Below are 14,495 nucleotides of genomic sequence, written 5' to 3'. Positions count from 1 at the left end.
ATGTTAACATTGATTGCCTGACTTGAGGTGGAGTTTTTCATGTTTCTCTATTGGAAAGTTACTACTTTTCCCCTCTTTTCCTTATTGTATTCTTTGAAGGAAGTCCCCATGCTCAATGCTCAGCCCATCCTTAAGGGTTTGGTAATTATTCTCCAACTTTTTGAGGCAGGAGTGCTTATATGAATTATTTGAAATTATTTGGAATTTAAACAGAAAGCTTATGTATTATCCCTCACTTTTTAGTAGTTTAACCAATCATTTAGATTTGTATGTGATCTTGGTTATTTATTTTATACTTTGGGTTTAATCCAATACTTTTTATTGTTGTTACTCAAGTTTTTCCAGCTTTGTTTGACCGTTGGTAACTCTTTCAGTTGGCCCCTGTGTCCCTTTGAAATACCTTCATTACTGTGGGGTTCTTGTTCTGTTTCATTTTGGGGATTGGTCTTTCTGTTTGTTTTTTCATTTGTTTTTACCATGTACATACTTTCTTGTACTACAAAATGTTCCAGGAAAGAAATAATTGCATTTTTTAAAGTGCCAACATAAACTTAATAATCTGGAGCAACTTATTACTAAGGTCAGGACCATGTGTTTGCCTTCCTTAGCAAGCAACCTTTCCTCAATTTAATGCACATAGATAATACTCCTAACTCAATCCTGATATTTTGATAAAAAGAGCTAATTATAACAAGTGCCATAAGTAATTTGAATTGACATTAGAGATAGTAACAGTGTGTTTTATTTGCCTCAATGTGCCCTAAGGAAAGGTGATTGATTAAAAATATTTTTTTAAAGTTTTGCTTCATTCTATACTTACATGATTGTTTCTACTATACTAGACATCCTCAGAACAAGCAGTTTTCATGGGAGAATGAAAGGTTTTTAGAATCCAAGAAGATTCTGTCTCATTACCATTTTTTCTATCATATCTGTTAGAATTTACAGTTTTAATCAGGTAATACTCCTGGGAAGTAAAAGTTGCATGAAGGAAGAAAACATTAATAGATTTCTTCAAACAATAATATGAAATTATTCCAGTAGTGTTATAATAAAGGGAGTTCTAACAGAAACACCTGGATATGCAATGTATCATTAACAAGTTATTCATATGACTAAAGATCAGGTTAATTGCTTATCAAATATAATTCCAACTATTTTCTAAAATAAAAAATGAGAGATCCATGAAGTGAAACATTTGCATAGTTCAAATCAAGGTACAAAGATGAAGGGATTCTCTATTATTTTTATATGAAAACTCTTATTTTCTCTACAATCTGACTTATTTTCAATTTCCTACACAGTATTATTCTGTCATTTTACATGTGAAATAATTAACTCTCAATCAACTCATCTAGCTATTTTCATGACATAACTCTGTCTTCTTTTAACTCCACGTCACCTTTTATCTTCCTGTTGTTTTTGTATAGAAATATTTGAAATAGTAAAAACAAATTTTTTAATACAGAAGACTTGTCTCTCAAGCCATTTGCTTGAGAAAGCTAAGAGTTTTAAGTAACCATCTCCCAACGAGAAAATTAGTCTTTATGAGTACTTTTTTACAACTGAGACTCCACCTTCCTTCCTTCCTTCCTCCCTCCCTCCTTCCCTTCCTTCCTTCCTCCCTCCCTCCTTTCCTTCTTTCCTTGCTTCCTTCATTCCTTCTTTCCCTCCTTCCTTCCTTCCTTCCTTTCTTCCTCCCTCCCTTCTTCTGTTTCTTCTTTTATCCCTTCCTTCTTTCCTTCCCACCTGCTCCCTCCCTTCCTCCCTTCTTTCTTTCCTTCCTCCCCTCCTTCATTTCTTCCTTCGAATGGCTTCCTTTATATGCATGCATATTGATTCAGTACTTACTACTTGCTGAACATTGTTATAGACCCACACTCCATGCATCAGCTAAAATTATCACAAATTTCCCTAGATACAGCCAATCGTGGACTCAAGTGTGTATTTTGATTTGAATAATGATGCACCAAGTACCACATGTAATATCTTTCTCTTGTCTTTGCTGCTAGGTTCACTTTCTGATTATTGTTGCTTATTTGTAAATATTTTCTCATCTTCCATGAAGCTCCACTATTACAGACATTGTTGTGCTTTGCTAAACTCATAAAATATTGTTCAGGATGAAACACCTTCTCTTCCAAGATAGATTCAAAATGTTGTGCCTTCTGTTATCACCTGGAATTCTTTATCTATCCTGGATGGCATTAGGTTATTTTATGAAGTAAGATCATAGAAACCTTCTTTCTCAGTCTTGGAATTGATGGGTCGGTATAGCACATTTCCCCAAGGCAGAAGATAGAGTTCTCAGACTCTGTTAATACCTATGATTCCTTCTGCCTTCTTTTCACCTCTTAGCAGACATGACCAATTTCTGTGACTCTTACACAAAATCACAAATGCAGTCCCAACCTTTTTTGGGGTAACTAATTGGTAAGGAAATTTCTGAGAATTGGCTTTGTGGCAAAAATGTAAATTTCCACTGTCTCTTCTGTGTCACATAAGTGATTTGCATGATTAAAAATGTTTGGTTCCATATTTCTATTTTCATCCAGAGGGATAAAAATATGTCTAACCTTGATCAGAATCCACAGAATGAAATCAAACATACAGATCTCCTATTTGAGAATTGGCCTGATCCTGGAATAAAACAAACAAGTCAGGAAAAGGCAAATATGTCCTCTCTCTAGCCCATCACTTGCAGGGGAATCCCAGGAGTCTTTAGAAAGAATGATTTCTGATTCTAGCCCAGACACCAGTTGAATTTATAATTTTATTTTTTTAATCTTTTTGAGACAGAGTCTCACTGTGTTGTCCAAGATGGAGTGCAGTGGTATGATCTTGGCTCACTGCAATCTCCGCCTCCTGGGTTCAAGCAATTCTCTGCCTCAGCCTCCCGAGTAGCTGGGATTACAGGCACCCACCAGCACACCCAGCTAATTTTTGTATTTTTAGTAGAGACAGGGTTTCACTATCTTGACCAGGCTGGTCTTGAACTCCTGACCTCGTGATCCACCCGCCTTGGCCTCCCAAAGTGCTGGAATTACAGCCATGAGCCACTGCACCTGATGAATTTATACTTTTAGATTAGAGTTTCCTTTGTGTAACCTTTTTCTGTACTATCCATTGTCCTCACTCTAATGTGAATGACACTAACAAAAAAAAAAAACATCAAAATGTTTTTGTCTGGTAGCTGGGCCCAGACAAAAAGGAGCACAGAAGCAGGAATGGCATAGCTAATAGGAAGTGATATGGCTTTCTTTCTTCGTAAATAAAAGATAAAAGGAAGAATAGAATGTATTCACATTTTAGAAGTTTTAGTTTCATATACACAGTAGTAAAGAAATGGGAAGTTAAAAAAGTTGAGACTTTCATATATTGAATTAACATTTATCGAATATTTAATACATTCCTATACTACACTAGGTGCTGGGAATACAAAAATTTCAACATAAAAATAAAACATAATCCTGACTGTAATATGATGCGCATTACTAGAATTTATGAATTTTTGTATCTAAATTTAAATTACAATGTTATGCTGTATATATTTTAAATTTCAGCATGTTTTTCTTCCAGATATGATTAATATCTCTCTTAATATTTGTTTACTCTTGACATCTTTAGGAGATAGTCAACTTCAACTGTCGGAAACTGGTGGCTACAATGCCTTTATTTGCTAATGCGGATCCTAATTTTGTGACTGCCATGCTGAGCAAGTTGAGATTTGAGGTGTTTCAACCTGGAGATTATATCATACGAGAAGGAGCCGTGGGTAAAAAAATGTATTTCATTCAACACGGTGTTGCTGGTGTCATTACAAAATCCAGTAAAGAAATGAAGCTGACAGATGGCTCTTACTTTGGAGGTTAGTAAAAAAGATGCAACTAAGATGAAATCTAAACTGCTTGAGATTTGTATCTTTAAGAATTTTGGAGATGTCAGCATGTCAGTTTTTTGGTTTTGAATGTAAACCTGTATGTGAATTCTGATAAAAGTGTCTATAACAGTGTTTTCATATTTCAGAGTCACAGGCTCAATGTGTGTGCATTTACTACTACATTGGTTGAGATATTATTTCAACCTCTTTATCTGGAACCAAATAATAGGGGCTTAAGTCAAATGGAAAGTATAATTTGGTGACCTAGATTCCATCCATCCACTAACATGTTTTGTTTCGTTTTTGTCATCTCCACAAGAGGAGCTGATTCCTCTCCACCATGTTTTGATACGGCCCATATAATGGGGCAGAAATAATAGAAGAAATGAAAAACTAACAGCTTCTGTTTGATATTCCTACTGCCCAGAAATTGCAAAAATCATTGCTATTCACATATGATTGCCCAGAATTGGTATAGGATCACCTTCAGGCCTAAGGAAGGCTGCAAAATGTAGCCTGTAGTTAGATGGCAATTTACCTTGCTAAAAATTTACAGAAATTTGTATTGTTTCTATATTAGTTCATTTTCACACTGATGATAAAGACATACCTGAAACTGGGAAAAAAAGAGGTTTAATTGGACTTAGAGTTCTATATGGCTGGGGAGGCCTCAGAATCATGGCAGAAGGCAAAAGGTACTTCTTACATGATGGCAGCAAGAGATAATGAGGAAAAAGCAAAAGCAGAAACCCCTGATGAACCCATCAGATCTTGTGAGACTTATTCCCTATCATAAGAATAGCATGGGAAAGACCAGCCCCCATGATTCAATTACCTCCCCCTGGGTCCCTCCCATAAATGTGGGAATTCTGGGAGGTACAATTCAAGTTGAGATTTGAATGGGGACACAGCCAAACCATATTTATCTCCAATTTTTATTAAAATTATATATATAAAATATATATATATGTTTCTACACATGTACAAAAAATGCCTAGAAATTGATTTACTGGGTCAAAGACTATTTGATCTTATTTTTAGACTTAGGCAAATAACACCAAATTGCTTCTTTGATAAGGCTGCCTGTTTGCTTTGCCAATTCAGTTTTAGTTTTGTCTTGTGTATTAGTCCATTTTCACACTACTGTAAATACCTGAGACCGTGTAATTTATAAAGAATAGAGACTTAATTATCTCACAGTTCCACATAGCTGGGAAGGCCTCAGGAAACTTACAATCACAGCAGAAGGTGAAGGAGAGACAAGCAACTTCTTCACAGGCAGCAGGAGAGAGAAAGCACAGGGGAAACTTAAACCATCAGAACTCCTGAGAACTCCCTCACCACCATGAGAACAACATGGGGGCACCCATTACCATGATCCACGTCCCACCGCCCTTAACACATGGTGATTACAATTTGAGATGAAATTTGTTGGGGGGACATAGAGCCAAACCATATTATCTTGTTAATAAACAAAAGGACATACCCTAATTATTTGTATTTCTGTTTGCATTTTTGTTATTTCTGGGAGGCTGAGAAATTTCTTCTTAGAGTTACTAATTGCTTGGATTTATTTTTTTGTTCCTATTCTTTGCACATTTTTCTACTCTGTTGTTTGCCTTCGTAAATCTAATTTATAGGAATGTTCCAGATATATATTTTATATGATGCAACTATTTTCTCCTAATTTGTTGCTTGTTTCTTAATTGCATTTACAATATCTGTCATTATTTTGATCCTCATTATTGTTGATTTAAATCTGCCTATTTTTTCTTAGGGCATTAAAGATTTTATGTTCTGTAAGCGGGTTTTACACACTGGGAAATAATGGAAATGCTTTTCTTTCTTTTTTTTTTTTTTTTTTAAATGACAGGGTATCTCTCTGTCACCTAGGCTGAAGTGCACTGGCATGATTATGGCTCACTGCAACCTTGCTCTGCAGGCTCAAGTGATTCTCCCACCTCAGCCTCCCTAGTAGCTGGGACCACAGGCATGTGTCCCCATGCCCTGCTTTCCTATTTTTTAATTTTTTGTAGAGACGGGATGTCACCATTTGCCCAGGCTGGTCTCTAACTCCTGGGCTCAAACAATCCTCCTCCCTTGACTTCCCAAATTTCTGGAATTTCTGGAATGAGCCACCGCACCTGACTGGAATTGCTTTTCACATTTTTATCTATTTTATTTAGTTTTACTACATTTTATCATGACTACTCTGTTATTATAATTTATTATATTTTATTATTATACATATTCTAAATACATTTTTTAGTATTAACCCAACCAAAGTATATTTGTGAGTATAATATGAAATATTCTATATTATCCCCCTTTTTTACCCCAAAGAGACAATTTTTCCAAAATAATTAATGAAGGATTTCATCCTTTCTGCTAACTTTTGAAATGATTCCTTAATAATATGCTGACTTTAAGAAATGTTCCTCATTTACAGCTAAGATATATTTATTAGGAAATATTTGAATTTTGGTAAGTGAATTTTTTTAACTTTATCAAAATAACCATGAGGTTATAACCCATTAATCTATTATGGCTGAGTGAAACATATTAACTCAAATTAATTAACTTCTTTAACTTCCTGCTCACCAATTAAGGAAAATTTTGAAGTTCCATTTTGAAGCTTTCCATTTCTTCCACTATTCTTTCTTGTTAAAATGATTCTGTGTTGTCTCATTGGCCCCTTAGCCTTTTGTATGGGTTATTCTAAGAAAAAAGCAGATTAGGAAAAGCTATGAATCTAACAGGGCCTGCTTTAGAAAGTGCAGAGAATTAATGTTTGAATGAAGGGGAAAAAGAAAGAGAGTATTGAAGTTAGATGGGATAAGAAATGAAAGTATACAGTTGATCTTGAACAATGTGGAGATTAGGGGTACCAACCCCTGCTCTGTCAAAAATCTGCATATAATTTTTGACTCTGCAGAATCTTGACAATAGTAGCCTACTGTTGGCTGGAAGCCTTAACAATAATACAAATAGTTGATTAAAACATATTTTGTATGCTGTATATATTAGATACTGTATTCTTACAATTAAGTTAGCTAAAGAATATAAAATATTTAAAAATTAATAAGGAAGAGAAAATATATTTACTATTCATCATAATAAATAGATCATCATAATAAATGGATCATCATCAAGGTCTTCATCCTCATCATTTTTATGTTGAGTAGGATGAAGAGGAGAAGGAAGAGAAGGGGTTACTTTTACTATCTTGGGTGGCAGAGGCAGAAGAAAATCCACCTATAAATGGGCTTGCCTAGCTCAAACCTGTGTTAAGTAGTGAACTGTATATGTATAGGCCAGGTTTGGGGATAAATTTGTAGGAGGAAAAGTCTTTGAGTCAGTTTCTGGAGATTTGATGAATATGTAGAAGAAACATTTAAAAAGAATTTTTTGAAGTGTTATTATGCACAAAGATGGGATTTGTGAAGTCGACATATGTTTTGTGAATTCAGAGGAGGTTTTAAATACCTTACAGTTAATTTGGTAATATGACTAAGGTTTTATACAAAGACTGGAATATGTTCCTCCCTGGACTTATGTGGGTTAAACTATTAGTACAGTGAATCACATCACTGAATATCCTTGTGTTAAACCATAAGATCATTTCTGAGATAAAAACTATTTTTTCTTGATGTAATATTTCTTTAACATAGTGTGTCATCTCTGTCCATGAGTGAGATTGGTCTATAATGTTGTTGTTATTGGAGTCATTTTTGTGATCCCCTAGATGACTTTGGATATCAGGTTATGCTCACTTCTTAGAAAGAATAATAAAACTTTTTCAAAAAGTATTCGCTGTTTTAGAGAAGTTTAAACAATCTAGGCATTACCTGTTATTTGAATATTTGTTAGGCTTCACAAATAAAGCCACTTGTGTTTGATTCCCTGTATTTTGTGGTTATTAAAATACTCAGGTTTTCTATTTCTTTAGGAGTAATCATTCAGTTCATCTAATTCAATTGTTCATAATACTGAGTACACATTACTATCTCCTGGAAAGCTTTAAAAAAATTTGATGCCAATGCCAAAAACCTACACTATATTTTCTCATATAATTGAGTGGAGTTGAAATCCAATCACCAGTATGTTGAAAAAAATCCCCAGATGATTCAAAATAATTTTTAAATTAAAAATAGTTATAGAGACAGAGAGCGAGAGATGAAGATATTGATGTAGATATATGGTTCCCTTTTTACGGTTAAACTTTTACTTCCTTTTTATTACAGGGGCTTTATATTTACATAATTATTGCAAAGATCATACAGATAATTCCAATGTAAACATCTTTCATTGCTATGGTATGTTGGTCAAAACTAATGAACCAACTGTTAAAGTACTTAATAAAGTGCATTTTTCATTGAGATTTTTCCAGTCTTTACCCAATGTCCTTTTTCTGTTCAGAATCTGATACATAATACCACCTGACATTCAGTAGTAATGTCTTCTTTGGCTACTTTTAATCATTAAAGTTTCTTGGAATTTCCTTCTTCTTGATTAATTTGACAGTTTTAAGGAGCACTGGTTAAGGTATCTTGTAGAACGTCCCTCAATTGGGATTTGTCTGATGCTTTTCTCAAGATTAGATCGGAGTAATTGTTTTGGGAAGAAAAACGAGACTTAAAGTACCATTCTCATCACATCATATTGAGAGTGCATGCTATGAATATATCTTATTGCTGTTGATGTTGACCTTAATCATCTAACTTGAGTTAGGGTTTGTCAGACATCTCCATTGTAAAGTTAATTTTTCTTTCCCTCCCATTCCATACTGTACTCTTTGGAAGGTAGTCACCATGCACAGCCCACAAGTAAGGAGCGGGGAGTATTGTTCCACTTCCTTAAAGGCCACGTATGACATAAATAATTTGAAATCATCCTGAACAGGAAATTTACCTATTCTCTTTCATTATTTATTGATTTATACAATCCTTTTTGTATCAGTATGGACACTTGGATATATTTATTTTATAATTTGGGTTATAATCCAGTACTACTTTATTAATTCTGTTGCTCAGATTGTTTCATCTTTGGCTATTGGGATCTCTTCCAATTAGCCCCTCTGTCCCTTTGTCCTCATTATTGTGGGTAAATTTTTTCTTATTTCCTGTTACCACAATATGCTCCTGGCTCATCTTGAATAGTTCCTATCAGTCTAAAATTATTCATTTCTTCAAGGAGGCTTGGATTCTGTAATTGGAGAATGGTAATTGAAATAAAGATCTGGAAAGCCCTGAGGTGGTGCAGGGTATCACATGGTGAGGGAGCTGAACATGCTCATGTGGAAGACCAAGTTCTTCTTTCTCTGTTTATAAAGCTACCAGTTCTCTCCGATTATAAATCATTTATACATCAACCAATTAATCCATGAATGGATAAATCAGTTCATAAAGGCAGAGCCCTCATGAGCCAGTCAACTCATAAAGTCTTCACCTCTCAGTACTGCCATATTGGGTATTAAATTTCAAGGAGTTTTGAAGGTGACACATATTCAAACCATAGCAACATCTTTCCCCTAATCTTGATTTTGGGAGAAAGCATCCACCTATCACCATTAAGTATGATGCTAATTGAACAGTTTTTTTTTCAGATGTTCTTAATCATATTGAGAAAGTTATCCTTCATTACAGCTTTTCTAAAAGTTTTTCTTTAATCATGAATGAGTGTTGGATATTGTCAAATGTATGTTTTTCTATGCCAAGTCTGTGATCCTATGTTTTTTCTTCTCTAGTCTGTCAATGTGGTGAATTGTTTTGATTGATTTTAATTTTAAATGTTGAACCAGCCTTGCATGCCTAAAATAACTTTTATTGCATCAAAATGTGAAAATGTATTGGATTGGATTTGCTAATATTTTGGTCATGATTTTGTCTCTATCTTTATGAGATATATTATTCTATGCATTTTTATTCATGTAATGTGCTTTCTGATTTTTGTATGAGGCTGATTCTCACTTCATAGAATGGATTTGAAAGTGCTCCTTCTGCTTCCATTTTCTGGAAAAGATGGTGGAGAATTGATATCATTTATTCCTTAAATATTTGGTAGAATTTACTGGTGACAACTTTTGGGCCTGGTGATTTATTTTTTGCAAGATCATAGAATAATTGATGTTGGGAGCAAGCCCCCCAAAATCTGGCCATAAACTGGCCCCAAAATTGGCCATAAACGAAATCTCTGCAGCACTGTAACATGTTCATAATGGCCCTAATGCCCAAGCTGGAAGTGTGTGGGTTTATGGGAATGAGGACAAGGAACACCTGGCCCGCCCAGGGTGGAAACCGCCTAAAGGCATTCTTAAGCCACAAACAATAGCATGAGCGATCTGTGTCTTAAGGGTGTGTCCCTGCTGCAGTTAACTAGCCCAACGTATTCCTTTAATTCAGCCCATCTCTTCGTTTCCCATAAGAGATACTTTTAGTTAATTTAATATCTATAGAAACAATGCTAATGACAGGTTTGCTGTTAATAAATATGTGGGTAAATCTCTGTTTGGGGCTCTCAGCTCTGAAGGCTGTGAGACCTCTGATTTCCCACATCACACCTCTATATTTCTGTGTGTGTGTCTTTAATTCTTCTAGCTCCACTGGGTTAGGGTTTCCCTGACCGAGCTGGTCTCAGCAAATTGATCCAATTTCCTTGTGGATATAAAGTTATTTAGGTTAGATAGTTCTCATTATGTGAATTTTATTAGTTTGTACTTTCCAGGAATTGCTCCACTGCATCTAAATTAAATTTATGGACACTGAGTTCTCTGTAGTTTGCTTGAATCATTCTCTTTTAGGGTCCCCAGGATCAATAGTGATGACCCCTCTTTCATTTTTGATGTTGATAATGTTTACGTTCTTTTTTCTTGGTCAGTCTTCCTAGAGAATCTTAAAAAATATATTTTCCAAGAGCTACAGTTGCATTTCATTGTTTCCTGTTTTCATTTTTATTGATTTCTATCATAATTTTTATGGTATTCTTAGTCGTTGTGCTTTGAGCTTAAATTGCTTTCTTTAGTCTATTTTGCTAAGATGGAAGCTTAGAATACTGATTTTTCAATCTTTCTTCTATTCTAATATATTTATCTAATACTATGTAGTATAAATTCCTCTCTAAGAACTTCATTTTCTGCCTCATACAAATTTGGTGTCATATTTTAATTTTCTTTCATTTTTTTAATATTATCTGAGACTTTTTCCTTGTCCCATATGGTTTTTCAGTGTGATAAATATATAGGGATTTTCTATCTGTCTTTCTATTGTTGGTTTCTAGTTTAGTTCATTGTGATCTGAAATTTTACCTTGTATGATTCTCATTATTTTCTATTTGCTGAGGTGTGTTTTATAGCCCTAACTCTTGATAAATGTTCCATGTAAAAATGAGAAAAATAATATTCTTCCATTGTTATTTGTTTAACCCAACTCACTTGAGTAAGAAAGTATGTAAAATACTATTTTGTTTCCATTCAGAGCTTTTAATCTCATTCATATTTTCACTATGATGACATGGGGTGGCTACTGGTGGACCTCAAGGGTACCAGAAGCACAAGCCTTTTATGGGCAGTTTACAGAAAAAATAAGTTTACATTACTTTGAATATCAACATGCAGTTTTAGACATCAAAGAAGATAATGTAAGGCAGTTAAAATCTAATAACATGTACTTATTTAATAAGCTATACATATTATACAATCCCTGCCTATTTCATTATCTAATATGAAATCTTGACATCAATAACACCAAATTTTATACTATACTAGTTTTGTATTTGTATAAGTTGAGCATGACAAGTTCATAGTATTGTTAAGCAGAAGAACCAGACATTAGCTGAGGAATGCTCTTTTCACTCTTCTAATATATCTAACTAAATAAACATAATCAGTTCACCAAACATTAAACCCCAACAAAATGGAGGGCAGAATAGTAAGCTAAGGAGACTTATTTAAAGAAAGATCAAACTCAAAAGTTTTGAATTCTGTGCATAACTTGATTTATATCTACAATAATGCAGGAGTATGTTTCTAGATCAGTATAATTTTTTAACTTCAGATATTTTGTTTTACTTTTTGGTGAGGCATGTGACTCATGCACCACCTCATCCAGTCTTCTTAGCAGAGGTCTTACGTAGTGTTGTAGCAGAAAGAGTATGAGGAAATGAACCAAATATAAGTGTGAGACACATTCATAAGGCCTGGGGATAGAGCAGTGAGCAAAAAGTACCATGCCACTCATACTTATGGAACTTATATTTTAGTGGGTGGTTATATTTTATAAAGAAGAATTTAATAAAGAAACCTGGAAATTACTAAAAATATTAAGCCACGTTACAAAAAGGTGACAACCATATTGGAGTTAGAATCCAGGCATGTGGATTACCTGGGAGTTCTAGGCTTCCCATTGAGAGTGATGGTGAATGGGCATAAAGAGCTTAAGGAGATTTGTCTACATAGCTTAGGCCAGTTGGGTGGTGAGTGAGTGTTGGGGTTGTGGTGAGTGTTGGGGTGCTCAAGGAGTGATGGTTTTGATTGTAGCAAAAGGAGTGTCTGGACTCCTGCTTAACTCCTCCTTTGAGTTAGATTTTATAATCTCATCATCCTCTTTTAAATATGAGGAAAATGAGTCTCAAAGCAGTTAAACAAGCTGGCCAAGGCCATGGACTTGAGAAGGGAGAAACCCAGGTTTCAAACTCAGTTTGTTTCTGAACTTGAAGCCTGTGTTCTTTCCAGAATACCTCACTGCCTCTTAAGAGGGGCATGATTATTCTCCAATATATCACTTCAAATCTATCCATGGCCCTTTTATTTAATTTCCATGGAATTCACTAAACTGTTTTGTAATCTATTCATATGTTTTATATGACCATGCTATTAAGGTAATCATACTGTAAATATATTATCCACTAAGTAAAATGCCATTAACAAACCATATTAAAATGTCAAATAATATACCTTTGTACCAATACTTTGATTTTAAAGAAAAGTTTGTTTTTCTAATATAATTTATTTGATTATTATTAATATCTCCTTTACTCATTCACCTCTTAACAATCATTTATCTTTCCACGCCAAAGTGTTCTAATTGATTCAGTCTCTTAACTTTCTTTCTTTCAAAATGTCTGTCCCATAAGTTCTTTTTATGGAATGATAATGTGAAACAAACCCATGAGAAAGGAAATATTTTTCATGACTGTTGTTAAATGCTGCTTTAATAATGGACATTTCGCAAGCTGTGAAGGGACTGGCAGATACTTTACAGAGTTAATGTATGTATTTAGGATTTTTATGACCAAAATACATTTGGGCAGATAATGATTATTTGACATTTTTAAATTTAGAGACACCGATTCGAAAAAACCACAGGCAATCATGGTCACCGTGACTATTCGTTAACTCTAAGAGGACTGAAACATCTGCCAATCTGCAGTTGGCAATTTACTCTACTTCTATATTATATTTGTTTAACCTCATGCTGGTTTTCTAGAAGGCATAAGGAAACTGTTGATAGTTAATCAAATTAACAATTTGATTAGCTCAATTTTTTCTATTACATTTATGAGGAGCAGGAAGAAGAGGCAGCCGTAGGAAAGAACGATTAATCTCCTTATGGAGTTTTTTTTAATTTTTCTTTTCCTTCCTCATTCGTTATCCTCTTAGGTGAGGGTAAATGAAGTAATTTTGTCCATGCTGGTAAGACAACTCTGTCAGATCTTTTCTTTTCTTGTCAGGTCTTGGCTGACTTAGAAATGTCAAATAATACACAATCACAAGCTGAAGCTTTGCTAACTCATTGTGTGAGAGAGATGCTAGTCACTTTATCCTCACCTCAGAGTTCTGTGTCTTTATAAAGTCATTTATAAATGAATCAATGCCAAATATCTGACATACTTAGGAAAATTAGGATGAACATTAAGAAGACATTTTATTTTGAAGTCAAAATGTCTTTCTCTTTTTAATAAAATAGAAAAAGAGAAGGAGGGGAAGAAGGAGAAACCTAAAAAGTTCATATTACAATCCTGGGTCCTCCTATATTCCTGTGCTAGTTCACAAAGGACCACATTTAAAGAGGTTTTTGCTTTGTTTTGTTTTGTTTTGTTTTGTTTTGTTTTTGTAGACCATGTCTTGCTCTGTCACCCAGGCTCACCTCAGCCTTGACCTTCTAGGCTTAAGTGATCTTCCCGCCTAAGCCTCACAAGTAGCTGGGACTACAGGTGTATACCACCATGCCTGGCTAATATCACTGATCATTAAAGAAAGGCAAATCAAAACCACAATGAGATAACATCTCAAACCAGTCAGAATGGCTATTATTAAAATATCAAAAAATTATAGATACTGGTGAGGTTGTGGAGAAGAAGGAACAGTTTTACACTGTTGATGTCAGTGTATGGTAGTTCAATCACTGTGGAAGACAGTGTTGTAATTCCTCAAAGACCTAAAGACAGAAATACCGTTTAACCCAGCAATCCCATTACTGGGTATATACTCAAAGGAATGTAAATTGTTCTGTTATAAAGACACATACATTCAAATGTGTTTTCATCTCTTTGTGCTGGTGTTAGGTAAACTGATTTTCTCTTTATGCTTTCATAGCATTTAGCCTATTATTGAATTATT

General features: G+C 34.5%; 1 protein-coding gene across 1 annotated transcript in view; it reads left to right on the top strand.

Annotated features, from left to right (window-relative positions):
* Nucleotides 1–14,495, top strand: part of HCN1 (hyperpolarization activated cyclic nucleotide gated potassium channel 1) — a 441,433-nt gene that overhangs the window by 388,914 nt on the left and 38,024 nt on the right. Inside the window, exon 6 of the mRNA NM_021072.4 lies at nucleotides 3,628–3,868. Within this exon, the coding sequence (NP_066550.2) occupies nucleotides 3,628–3,868 (241 nt within the window). The remainder of the gene's footprint in view (nucleotides 1–3,627; nucleotides 3,869–14,495) is intronic.

This window comes from Homo sapiens, chromosome 5 (assembly GCF_000001405.40).
Source record: "Homo sapiens chromosome 5, GRCh38.p14 Primary Assembly".
Classification (NCBI taxonomy): Eukaryota; Metazoa; Chordata; class Mammalia; order Primates; family Hominidae; genus Homo; species Homo sapiens.
The sequence above is the reverse complement of the archived record's forward strand: the minus strand, read 5'-3'. Positions and strand labels throughout refer to the sequence as shown.